The sequence below is a fragment of the Homo sapiens genome, chromosome 17 (genome assembly GCF_000001405.40).
Source record: "Homo sapiens chromosome 17, GRCh38.p14 Primary Assembly".
Lineage (NCBI taxonomy): Eukaryota > Metazoa > Chordata > Mammalia > Primates > Hominidae > Homo > Homo sapiens.
Window position 1 is genome coordinate 73,940,119 of NC_000017.11, and position 13,711 is coordinate 73,953,829.

General features: G+C 52.0%; 1 long non-coding RNA gene across 2 annotated transcripts in view; it reads right to left on the reverse strand.

Moving 5' to 3' along the window:
- LOC105371888 (uncharacterized) overlaps window positions 1-10,742 on the reverse strand; it is a 25,305-nt gene extending 14,563 nt beyond the window's left edge. The window contains exons 1-5 of one of the 2 annotated variants that reach the window (XR_001752997.1): window positions 10,563-10,742; window positions 9,626-9,719; window positions 6,756-6,971; window positions 4,165-4,396; window positions 1,882-2,055 (exon numbers count right to left, since the gene is read on the reverse strand). This is a non-coding gene — a long non-coding RNA (uncharacterized LOC105371888). Of the gene's footprint in view, window positions 1-1,881; window positions 2,056-4,164; window positions 4,397-6,755; window positions 6,972-9,625; window positions 9,835-10,562 lie in introns of both variants that reach the window. The other variant, XR_934962.2, reaches the window with a different exon arrangement.
- Between the last annotated feature and the right edge of the window lie 2,969 nt (window positions 10,743-13,711).

Here is a 13,711-nt window from a genome sequence, read left to right on the forward strand (position 1 = left end):
CCATTAACCAGCGCTATCAGACCTCCCAGATTCAGCCTCCTCTGTGAGAACAAATACAGAGAAGGGGGAAGGAGGGAGGAGAGAAGAGGTATAGAGAGAGAGAAGAGGAGAGAATGCCAGGTCCTCCATTTCCTATATGGATAAATGATTGATGATGATGATGATGATGATGAAGAGAGCAGCTAACAATGACAAAGCTCACTGTGTTTCAAGTACTCTTCTAAACTCATCGTATATGGTAGCTCATCTCATCCTCACAACAACCCAAAAAGATACGTTGTTATTAGACTCACTTTGCAGGTGGGGAAATTGAGGCAGGGAGCTTTTCAGAGACTTTGTGAGGTCCCAGCACTGGTGGGTGGCAGAGCTGGGGGTTTAGCCCAGTTGCTGGGCCCCAGTGTTTGTGCTCTCAGCCACTCTACGCATTGCCTCCCACAGTGGTCAGGAAGTCAGAGTCAAAAGAGATGGAGAGAGTTCAGCTCAAAGCAGGCAAGAGTCCTAGTTCCCTGTGGGCGGTGGCTACACTGTGAGGACTGGCCCCCAGCTCACCAGGCAGAGGAGAGCAGCTTTCCCAGAGATTCCCTGCTCGGGCCACAGAGACAAAAATCTTCCATTCCTTCTAGAAATAACAGTGTCTAAGCTGCTTCCTCAGTCAGAGCCCCTCAGACCATTTGTCACTCCAGGTCCACAACCCCAGAGGTGGTTCTTAGTGGCCACAGCCTCAGCTGCAGCTCCCCTCACCCTGGCCAAATAAAGGGGACAGGTCTCCAAAGTCTCCTCATGTGCCAATATCCCCTTCTCACGCAGGAGAGATGGGATGGGAAGGGATGAGACGGAATGAGTGCTGGGGAGGAGATAGAAGGGAGGGGATAGAACAACATGGGACAGGGTGGGATGAGAGGAAAGGGAAGGAAAGGCACGCAATGGAATGAGATAGGAGGGTACAATGGGAAGAGGGGGAAAGGGGCAGAAAAGGAATGATACGCGATGAGTTGAGAAGGGAAAGGGTGGACACTGGCTTTTTTTTTTTTTTTTTGAGACAGAGTTTCGCTCTTGTTGCCCAGGCTGGAGTGCAATGGCATGATCTCTGCTCACTGCAACCTCCACCTCCCGGGTTCAAGCCATTCTCCTGCCTTAGCCTCCCGAGTAGCTGGGATTACAGGCGCCCGCCACCACGCCCAGCTAATTTTTGTATTATTAGCAGAGACAGGGTTTCATTATGTTGGCCAGGCTGGTCTCAAACTCCTGACCTCAGGCAATCCACCCGCCTCGGCCTCCCAAAGTGCTGGGATTACAGGTGTGAGCCACCGCGCCTGGCCGACACTCTCTTTTTAAACTATCCATACACTCCCATCACCCCTTTTTCCTAGAAAATTACAGACAGTCATTAGAACAGAAACATCCCTGCAGCCCCAACATCTCCTGTGTAGCACAATACATGGCAGTTAGTGACCCACTGCCATTGGCCAGGATTGAAAAGAGTCCATGATAGGTGTAGGAGCTCCCACACCCTTGCAGGCTGGCTCCAGAGGCTTCTTCCCAAGCTCTATTCCCAAGCTTTGGGCCCCAACCTACCTCCTTTAAGGCCAACTAAATCCTCACCTCTTCCAAGAAGACTTCTTCAACTATATCCTTCCTTTCTCTCACTCCCAGCTCTGTTTAGCATTTGTCACCCAATTTAACGCTTGCTTCTGTACAATGTTGTATTGATCTTTAATCTTGTAATCCAGATCTATAGCATATAGCCTGTGCTTCTGCCTGGTGGCAACCCTGAATGAATTTAATTCTTCCAGCATTTAAGAAGCAGAATCACAGAACTGTGGAGCATTAACCCTCCTGTTACAAATGCAGAAACAGGCTCTGAGAAGTCAAGGGGCATACCTGGCATCTCATGGCTGGTGAGCCAGACAGCTGGGGCACCCAGAGCTCAGCATCCTGACTCCCTCTGCTGCAGTGCGGGGAGCTTCCTGCCTTAGTCAGGGTTTTCCTAAAAACAGGCCCTCCAACAAGGATGGGAGTACTGGTGGTTTATCTGGGAGGTGGCTGCAGGAGGCACTGTGAGGGAGGGGAGAAGTAAGAAGAGGAAAGAGGAAAGCTGATTAAAGAGGTAGGTTTCCCTTGTGCATCCTGGGGGCCCAACCCCTCCAGGCCTCCAAGAGGCTGCAGAACTCACCAGGAAGCCAGGGCATTTCTCCAGGAGCCCTTGTCCCTCAGGGTTGAGAGCCCCACTTAGGGAGTTAACTCCCAGCACTTCTAGCCTGCCCTGCAGGGCTGAGCCCCCTTCCATGGCCAAAGAACCCATAAAAGCAAAGAGCAGTGGTTGTTGGGGGTACAGAGCCTTGGCGTGTGCATGAATTGTCTACCGCAGCTAGGGTGTCCTCTGGGTGGGTCAAGGAATGAAGGGCAGGCCACCCACAGGGTATGCCACGTTTGGGAAACACTTGCCCATCCATGGGAGTAGACCTTGGTGCCCCAACTTTCTTTCACATCTGTTTCCGGTTCTCTTTTTGATAGGAACAAATCTCTGCTCCAAGGTGTCAGATGAAAGAATGGTGCTCCCCACCCTCTCCCCACCCCAGGGATATATATCGTCATGGGGACTTTGATGGCACATAAGGAAAAGCGCACTGTCTGATGACATGTGGCAGGTGATATTTGGGGGTGCCACACATTCCAGCCATTCCTCCCACATGTGCAAGAAAAGGCTGCCTGACATAGTAGCCTGGCTGCTTCTGTGGGCCCCTTCTTGCTGGGCACCTCCCATTTGCAGAGCTCCTAATGAGGGACAATGTGGGTGTCAGGACAGATAGGAGGATGAAGCAGATCCCTCCCAGCCCCCCATGCTCCTCATGGAGGGCAGATGGGGGCCTGGGAGCTGGCCAGCCCAGCAGGTATGATGGGTTTGTGCACGGGGATCTACTCGGGAGCCCAGGAGTGCCCAGTGCAGGTGGCCATAAAGAAGAAATACAAGCAGCAGTCATCAGGTGTTTGACACAATTCCTGACATGCTTTCCCCAGACAGGGCATGCCCTGAGTTTACAAGGCAAATGCATTTATCACTTCTGCCTCATGTCCCAGGAGCCAAGCTCACCCCTCAGCCTGGAAATCTGGGCCTCCCCATGTGGCTTGCTTCCCCAAAAGGTGCCCTGTGCCTAGCCCCTGCCCCTCTCTGCACATACATGCATGCATGCGCATGCACAAATGCACGTGTGCACAAACATACGCACATATGGAGGCACACATGGAAAGCACCTGAATAAAAGACAGCCAGCCCAAATTCCAGCCACCCCTCTGCCTGTATGTAGCTCCGAGCCCTGGGATGCGTCATGGCCCTCATGGGGCCTTATTTTTCTCCTCTGTGTCGTGATGATTCTAAAGAACCCCCAGGGATGCTCAGCTCCCTGTCCAGAGAAGTTACAGTCCCATGGATGGACAGCAGAGGCATCTGTTGGCCCTCTCCTCCAAGGAGGCATAGTCCACCTTCGGACACGACCTGCCATGGTGATAGCCCAGGCCTGCCAGGAGAAAGAAGTAGGTGTATGGGTGGTTGGTGGCATCCTGCTTTGCCCTTTTTGCAGCAGAGATCAAGACCTTGGATTAGGTTGATCTGGTCCAGCATGGGAAGAATGTCAAACACCCCCTCACTAAAGTGACACACCAGCCAGCAAGCCAGCCCTTTCTCCCACCTTCAACTCTGCTTGTATCAGCAGAGAGGGTCGTGTTAAAACTGGCTTTGGAATGGTGCCTGGGAAGCTGGGAGGGGCAGTTCCCCAGTGTCTCTGCCTATGACACTGTGCGGAACAGCCTCAGGATCTGGGAGGCAAGTTCTTTGCAGAAGGGCTTTTTAGCAAGGCCCTGTTCTCCACAGTCCCCAGATGGTAGGCCTAAACCAAAGGGTTTCTAGGAAACAGACCCTCATAGCTGGCCACTGGCCTATGAAGACAGAGCTCAGATGCCCAAATAAGTGGAGGACTCTTCCAGGGAGAGAGCAGTGAACTGAGCCCCCGAGAGCCCACCAGCATGGACCAGGACAGCCCACTATGGGACACACCCTCCCACAAGGTGCCATTGTTTTGCATTTGCAGGATTTGATTTTTGTTTGCTGAGATTATGGAGCCTGCATATAGTTCCTGATTTTTGCAAAGCACATCTCAAACTTCTCACCTGTTAGCACTCCCCAGCATCGTGGCTGAGTGGGTGATTATCACCATACCCCAGGTGGGGAAACTGAGGCTTCAGGAGTCGAAGAGACTGAGTTAAGGGCATGCAGTGAGTCATCAGCTGCCCTTTGCTTCCCACACACATTTCTCACCAAGCTCTCTGAGGCCACACTGCTTCCTGGAGTCCTGGGGCATATCCACTGCTTTTGCCAAGGTGGGTTGTGGCAAGCGGGTCACTGGGAATAGGAGACAGGCGTTCTCAAAGAGTATATAAAGGAAAGAAAAGAATAAAGGGGTGGGAGGGGCACATGATCCAAAATCTCCTCTGCAGCAAGCTCTTGTAACTGCATGTCCAGCGGCCCCCCCTTCCTTGCACCTTCCTTTTTTACATCAACATTCAATCATCTTTTCCCATTCACTTCATCTCTTCCATCTTTATCTTACGCTGCCCGTGAAAACTGGTGTGAAATAAAAAGGCAACTCTGCCTACAGATGTAATCAATTGATTTGGCAGGTAGTCCACAGACACCTAGGAAGAGGACAGCCAATTTTCAGTGGACATCCTCCCCCACTTCTTTTTCTTCCTCTACTTCCTCCCTTCCGGGCTCTCCGTCCCCCTCCTTTTATTTTTCTGTCTCCTTCCTTTTGGCCTTGCTTTGATCTTCTTGTTATTTTCTGCTTTGTATTTAATGGAATTAGACCAGCCTATGAATTTTCCCCCGATTCTTTCTTTCTTCTTATTTTATATAACAGACAGCAGAGGGGAAGGCGTCTGTCTTGCCCGACTCTCTATCTCTGCACCATGCTGTGAGAGCTCAGTATTCCCAGGGGCCTTGTCAATCTTCCTGGGGAGGTGGGACCACGATCACCATCTTGAAGGATCCCAAACTCCTGCCCCAGATAGGAGATGGGTCCATAAAACAAATCCTAGAGTGGAACAGCTCTCCATCATCCAGGAGAGGAGAAAGTGTTCTATGAAGGAGAATTGTTTATTTTCATTCATTCATTCACTTATTAAGCATCACTATCGGCCAGGCACTGGGGATATAGAAGTGAACAAAGCCGTCATTGATCCCGCCCAAGTACATTGCCTGGTGCACAGTAGGTGCTCAATAAGTAGTGGCCACTCTTGGTTATCATTCTTCTGGAAGTATCTATGATAGTGCAAGATGTATACTCATGTTCAATAAATGTTAGTTTCCTCACTTCTAGAGACACTATCTCGGTACGATGTCTGTTTATTGGTCTTTTTATTGTTTTAACACAAAAAGAATAGAGGGGTGAAATTAAAATGTTCCCTCTGGCCTAATCTAGATTAGAAGACAATCATTAGATACAAACGAATGTGTAATTAAAAATTGTGATAACTGGGATAAAGAAAAAGCACAGGGTGATATGGGAGGATTTCATTTAGAAAGGGGTGGGGGAGGAATCTGGAGCCTGTATCTTAAAGAAGCATCACATAACCCATTGGCTCTCAAAGTGGGGCTCTCTCAGTCACAGAAGCAGCAGCATCAGGAACTTACTAGAAATCTACATTTTCAGGCTGCCCCAGAACTACTGAATCAGAAACTTTGGGCACCAGCCTTTCCAGGTAACTCCAATATTCCCACAAGTGTGAGAACTGCTCATGTAAGCTGAGACTGGAAGGAGGAGTTGGAGCTGGCCAAGTGGTGGGGAGAAAGAAGGCTTTCTAGGTGGAGAAGATAGCATGGACTGGGGCCCTGAGGCAGGAAAGACCACCAGGGCAAGGGTATAGGGAGGGAGTGTGAGAATCAGACCTTTCAGTGCCTTAGAACAACTGGAAAGAGTGTGAATTTTCTAAGTCCACCGGGATCCCCTAAGGCAGGGGTCCCAGTCTGTGGCCTGTTAGGAACCGGGCCGTATAGCCTAGGGGAGTGGTGGGCGAGTGAGTGTTACTGCCTGAGCTCTGTCTCCTGTTAGCTCAGCAATGTCATTAGATTCTCATAAGAGGCTGGGTGTGGTGGCTCACGCCTGTAATCCCAGCACTTTGGGAGGCCAAGGCAGGTGGATCACTTGAGGTTAGGAGTTCGAGACCAGCCAGGCCAACATGGCAAAACCCTGTCTCTACTAAAAATACAAAAATTAGCCAGGCGTGGTGGCGGGTGCCTGTAATCCCAGTTACTTGGGAGGCTGAGGCACAAGAATTGCTTGAACCTGGGAGGTGGAGGTTGCAGTAAGCCGAGATCACACCACTGCGCTCCAGCCTGGGTGACAGAGTAAGACTCTGTCTCAAAAAAAACAAAAACAAAACCCAAAAACAACAACAACAAAAACATTCTCATGGGAGCACAAATCCTATTACGAACCAGCATGCAAGGGATCTAGGTTGTGTACTCCTTGTAAGAATCTAATGCCTGACGATCTGAGATGGAACAGTTTCATCCTGAGACCATCCTCACCCCACCCCACCCATGGAAAAATTGCCTTCCACGAAACCAGTCCCTGGTGCCATAAATGTTGGGGACCACTGCCCTAAGGGGTTCTAAGCAGAGAAATGAAGCCATAGGATGTTGATGTCATAGAGTCCTATCACTGCCCACAGCTGGCTCCTAGTTCCTTCCCCGGCCTCACCTGCCCTGTTGGAGGGGCTCTTCTCAGCCCCTGAGAAAATGGCACTCTTGGGTGGTGCAGGAGGTCCTGGTAGAAGGCTCTTTCTTTTCATTCATGCCTTTGGATACATGATGGGATTTTCTGTCTTCATATTTTATTTTTACCTCTTTTCAAATATCAGTAAGTGGCATCAAAACAGTGGGATTATGGGTTATTTTTGTTTCTTCTCCACAAGTTCTTGAATTTTATGAAATAAAAGCAAACAAAATTTTATAAAGCCAATATTTATCAAATATTATTATATGTCAGTTTTTTTTTGAGACTTCCCTTTTTATTCATTCAACAAATATTTTTTGAGCAACTGCTGTGCCCTGGGCATTGTGCAGGCATGGGGATAGAAACGGAGGCCAACATTCTGCCGCGACGGAGCATCTGTGCTCATGGCGGGAGTGAGACCAACAAAGTCCAAGAGCAAAATACATCTCAGTGTCTGCCTGGGAAGGGGAGTGAGCCATCCCAGGTGGGACTGGTCAGGGAAAGCCTGAGAAGGTGGCGGCTGGGAAGGGGAGTGAGGCATGCCAGGTGGGGCTGGTTAGGGAAAGCTTGAGAAGGTGGCAGCTGGGCACAGACTTGGGGAGAGGAGGCGGTGGGGGTGGGGGGATGAAGAGGTAGGTAGGGGTGGGAGGCTCATGAGAGCAGGAACCCCAAGCGCCGAGGTGCTGAGCAAGAGCAGGAAAGGACGCAGGGTTTAGTGAGAGAAGGAGGAGAGGACAGGGAGGAGTGGGGAGGAGCCTCGTGGGCTGCCAGGAGGATTTTGGCTTTTACACCGAGTGACATGGGAGCCCATGGGCAGGGCAATGGGAATTCTGACATTCTGAAAGGGCCACTGGGCTGCTTGCTGAGAACAGCTGGTGAGAGGGGCAGGGCAAGGAGAGAAGGGAGCTGGCAGGAGAACCTGCTAGAAACCAGGTGGGAGCGGATGGGAGCCTGAGCTGGAGCAGCGAGGGTGGGATATGGTCAGATGCTGAATGGCCTCTGAACTGAGCGTCGGCGGGATCTGCTGCTGGGCCAGATAAGGGATGAGAGAGGAGGCTTGAGGATGACCTGAGTGATGAAAAGACAGCACTGCCACTTATGAGGCCAGGGAAGGCTAGGGGAGAAGCCAGCGTTTCTAGGGGAAGGAGCTGCTGGTTAATTCAGTGTTGGGCATGTGAAATTTCAGATGCCATTGTGTCGCTTTGGATGTCCCAAGGAGCAGATGCCAAGACAGGATTGGACATGGGACAGGCTTACTGGGGGCAAAGTCTGTGAAGGACAAAGGGGAGGCAGCAGGTGCTGGCAGACTGCCATGCAGGCCTGGCACCTGTGAAAGGAGAGGGGGATGGAAGGAGGCCTGAGAGGAAGAGCTTCCGTCCACAGCACAGCTCCAAGAGTGTTCATTCAGACCGATGAGAGGTCCTTGAGCCAAAACCTCCCATGGGGGTATCCAACATCCCACATGTGTGGGCCTGCCCTGACACTGCCCCCTCTAACCCCATCCCACCTGCTCAGCTATTGCCTGGGAGAAGCCCACATCATGTGTGGCTTCAGCACACCATAGGGGTGGGCCCACTGGGGCAGTGGTGGGGTGTCGGTCACCATGGTCCCCTCAACAGAAGTTGTGAGTGGAGCAATTTTACAGCCGCCACAGGCTATTAGACACGTAAGTGGAGATATCTAGTAGGCAGTTTAGATATATGAGTCTGGAGTTCAATGCAAGGTTCAAGGAAGAGATAAAAATTTAAGTGTCTTCAGCTCATAAATGGTATTTAAAGGCATGAGAATGCATGAGCGCGTGCACAGCTGGCAGGGACAAACGCTCCAAGGACTGAGTCCTGAGGCATGTTTGCAACAGTCAGCAACAGTGGCCAGGGAGGTAGGAGGGAAACCAGGAGTCTGTGAGCTCCTGGAAGTCAAGTCAAGAAAATGCTTCGTGGAGGAGGGAGCACTACCTTTCAGAAAACTGCCCATCACACTGGCAAGCATCCTTATAGGCCAGGCAATTTGCTGAAGACTCTGTGTGCATCACCACACTCCACGGGTCTTCTTCCCTGTTGTGGGTGAGGTGCTGTGCTGCCCCGATGCCCTGTCAGGGCCAACACAGCCATTCCCCAGTTGCTGGGAGTATTGGCTGCTGATGCTGAAAGTCACACCCCCTCCCCAGGGACAGCCTGTACCCAGAGACGGTTGACACAGCTTCCCTGCCACATTTGGGACACCTCAAGTGGACCATCTGGCTTACAAGCTCCTAGGGGGACCAGCTGAAGCCTCCGTTGTAGCTACAGAGTTAGGTAGATTCCTCCATCAGAGTAAAGAACCGCTGACTGCATGGGCTGGAGGAACAGGGTGCTACTTGCTACATCTTATCTTAAAGAATCTTTTGGATGCTTTGGTGAGAAACAGGAAACTAGCAGACTCTCTAGCCAGGCCATTGTAGGTTTGACCCACTTCACCCCCTCCTGACACTCCCACCTTTCCCACCACTTTTCCTCTTTTCTGTAGCACTTACCACCTGCCAACCTGCGATTTAATTTCCTTATTTGTTGATCTATTGTTTATTATCCATCTTCCTTCTTTCCTACAATGTCAGCTCTAGGAAGGCAGGGCTATTCATCTGTTTTGTCCCCTGATGTATCCCAAGTGCCTAGAACGGTGTCCACTGCATAGCAGGTGCCAGTATACATGCACGAAATGAGTTCCTGGACGAGCTGACCTTCAAGAGTTCACAGCCCAACTCTCCCATTTTTGCTGAATCCCACCATCCCACGTGAACAGAATGAGCCAGACCTCCAAACCCACAGAGGCAGCGTGGGGTGCTGGGACTTACCACGGCTAGGAGGCAGTCTCCTCACCTGCAAGGTGGGATGCCAGGAATGGTTTGCTCACAACACGGTCACAGGGAGCCACCTCGAAGCCTTCCTGTAACGCTGATCAATGAGGCCAACCCTATGGATGGAACCCATAGTCCAAGCCAAGTCTGAGGCCTTGTTTCAGGGGCATCCACAGCACCTAAAGGGTGCTGGGAGGGGGGCGTTCGTTGAGAACAGCACACACTGTACTCCTACAGGAGGAGAAGACAGACCCATTTTAGACTGACGGCTGCTCTGAAATGGGGGACTCAGTGTGAGATTCCCGTGCTAGAGAAAAGAGTCTCAGTTATTCCTCGTGGTAAGCAGGCGTGGCTTTCGATGGGAAGTCCTGCCTTCCCTGTTTCCCAGCCATGTGACCTTGGCCAAGTCAAAAAAAATATCCTGGAGCCTTATTATCTGTCACTACCTGTCAAATGGGAAATGAGTGAGATTATGTGCCTGAAAATGTTTTGTAAATTCCACAGCAGTGGTTCCCAGACTTTGAGATTTCATAGACGAGGGAAGTTTCCAGTAATCTGGAGCTTACATAAGGATTCCAGCGTTCTATTTTGCCACCTAAGGACACTGAAACACAAGCAAGCAACGAAGCGGTGGCTTGCCCATCGTCACTATTCTGTCATCAAAGGCAGAACACACTTCATGCTAAAAATGGAAGAAGGCCAAAAATCTGAACAAAAGATAGTCTTTGCAGCTTGAAAAAAAAAAAAAGTGAACTTAAAGGAAAAACTCACTGACTTGTCCTTGATTTTCTCATGTTGCCAAAGACAAGGGAAGTTTCTCTCTGGGAACATTGTGAAATGATGAAATGAGAGGGCTGGGATGGCGCACCCAGGCAAACAAGAGAAGCTGCCCACCGTGGAGGCGGGGACCCGGAGCTTCAGGCTCTCCGGGGCTGAGGGGGGTCAAAGTCTCCACCCACCTGACACCCATTTGAAGCATGCTGGTGCACAAAGGTACTGCAGGTGGGAAGCTTTCTGTAGGGTTCCCTGAGGAGGACGGAGTAAAGGGCTTCTCTTCACAGGAGGAGTGAGCTGGGAGTCAGGGCCTGGTTAGCAGGAACACAACGTACATGTGATCAATCCTGAGTGCTGAGCACTGTGCGAAGGGCTTCCTGAAGGTTATAGGAAGGAACTATTATCATTCGTTTTGCAGCTTGGGAAACTGAGGCACACAGATGTTTCCATTGCTTCCCCAAATCTCACAGCTAGTCAGTGGCAGAGCCGGGGCCCTAATTCAGCCAGTCTCGTTGCAGAGGAAGTGTGTTTAACCACTCACTCCAAAGCATGATCTCCAGAGCGAGGAAAGGGCTTCTCTGCTGATGCAAAGAGGCAGATTTCTAGCAGAATCAGCCCTGATCCTGATGCTCACAGGCTGGCATGTTGGGTCCAAGACGGCAAAGCTACTTTTCTGTATGAGTTCCCCATTGTAATGGGTTGAACAGTGACCTCCATAAAGGTGTGTCCAAGTCCCAAATCCCTGGAATCTGTAAAGGGAACCTCACTGACCTTATGTGGGGACAGGGTTTTGCACAGGTAATTAAAGATCTTGAGATGAGGGACGGGCGCGATGGCTCAGGCCTGTAATCCCAGCACTTTGGGAGGCCGAGGCGGGCGGATTACTTGAGTCGACGAGTTCGAGACCAGCCTGGGCAACATGGTGAAACCCCCATCACTACAAAGAATACAACAATTAGCCGTGGTGGTGTGTGCCTGTGGTCCCAGCTACTCAGGAGGCTGAGAGGGGAGGATCACTTGAACCAGGGAGGCAGAGGCTGCAGCGAGCCAAGATCACACCACTGCACTCCAGCCTGGGTGACAGAGCCAGACCCTGTCTCCAAAAACAAACAAACAAAAATCTTGAGACGAGATCATCGTTGACTTAGGGTAGGCCCTAAACCCACGGAAGGGTGTTCTTATACCAGACAGAAAAGGAACAGACACAGAGACACAGAAGAGAAAGCCACAGGAGGAAAGAGGACTCTGTGCCTCAGTTTCCCAATCTGCAAAACGAATGATAATAGTTCCTTCCTATAACCTTCAGGAAGCCCTTTGCACAGTGCTCAGCCTTCAGGATTGATCCCATGGATGTTGTGTTCCTGCTAACCAGGCCCTGACTCCCAGCTCACTCCTCCTGTGAAGAGAAGCCACAAGAAGACAGAGGCAGGGACTGGAGGGATGCGAGTCTGGGAGCCACGCCACGCCAAGGACTGTGCAGCCCCCAAGCTGGGAGAGAGCCCTGGAAAGGATCCTCCTGCAAAGCCTCCCTTAGAAAGCAACTCTGCTGACAACTCGAATTTCGACTCTGGCCTCCTGAATTGTGGAGAAATACATTTCTGTTGTTTTAAGCCACCAGTTTGTGGTAGTTTTTAAAAGCAGTCCCAGGAAACTCACACATCCCCTTTCCTACTTCCTCCGCGCCAGCTTCCAAACCTCTCCCCCATGAGAGGATCAGAGAATTCCTCCCAGCCCTCCAGCAGTGAGCTGCTCCCCCACTCCATTCATCTCCCGGTTCCTCGCATTCATCCCCCACCGAACCCACCCACAAAATGCTGAATCGGTGGGTGAGATCCCCATAGCAACGGCTCCGATGCCAGAACCCAGGATTACGACACCGGATCAGCCAGAGACGCGCTGGAGGGGCCCAGGAGGGGCTGCAGCGCGCCGCAAATCCCCCGGGGCTTACGGGAGCCGCTCTTTAGGAGACAGCGCTGGACGAACCGGGCGGGGTGGGGATGGATAATCTTCAGGCGCCAACGCAAAACGGCCGCAAGACGTGGCCAGGCCAGGAGGCTCCTGGGTCCCGGGCCCGCGATGTGGCCCTTGCGCGGGGACAAAGACGAGGCCATCGCCCTCACGTGTTCCCAAAGACGCCCAACCTCATCAGGAGGCCGCCCCATCCGCCACCTGGGAGCGTCCCACACGCCCGGGCCCTTGAGGATGTCCCCTCGGCGATGTGCCTGACCGGGCGCTCCCCGCCCGCCAACCTCCAACCTCCAACCTCCGCCCTCCACCCTCCACCCTCCTTGCTCTGTCCGCGTGGACGCAGCCCCCGGTTCAGACACTAGCGGGTGCGCGGGGCCGCCCAGGACGGCGGGAGAGGACGGGGCCCTCCCTCCCCTCTGGTCCCCCAAAGCTCCCCGGACGCCGCGGCCGCGCCCCCTGCCGGCTCCCTCCGGCCGGCTCCCGCGTCCCACTGGGGCTCCTCTCCCGCTGCAAGGTCAGCGCTTCCCCGCCCCACGCCCTCCACAACTCCCCGCCCTTCCGTTCCTGCTGCCGCCGCCCTCTCCACCCAGGCTCCTGTCACCCACCACGGGAGTTCACACGCTCCAGTCCATCGGCCTCCCCCGGCCCGACCGCCCTGGCTCAGGCAAATCCCAGCCTGCACTTCCCGAAGGAAGTCCCCTCCACGCACACACCCTACACGCACGCACACATTTACACACACGCCCTCACACATTTACACACACGCCCTCACACACGCAAATGCAGACACCCCCTACACTCACCCTTACACACACACCCTCACACATTCAAACACCCTCACACACATACACCCTCACACACATTCACACACCCTCACACGCACACAGAAACGCAGACCCCCCCCCCTCCACTCACAGGTACTCACGCTCACACACCCTCACACGCGCTCACACACACACTTACACGTAGACACATTCATATACACTCTCTTACACACATTCACACACCCCCCCCACACCCTCACGTATTTACACCCTCACACACACATTCCCACATGCCCATGCCCACACACTCACATTCACACACCCTAACACACAATCACAGACACACACACACAAACACACAATCACATATACACATACACACAGACACACACAGAATCATAAACATACACACAGAGACACACAGAATCACATATACACACACATACACACACAGAATCACATATACACAGACACACAATCACATATACACGGAATCACATATACACACAGACACACAATCACATATACACAGAGATACACAATCACAGAGACACATAATCACATATGCACGCAGAATCACATATACACACACAGACACACAC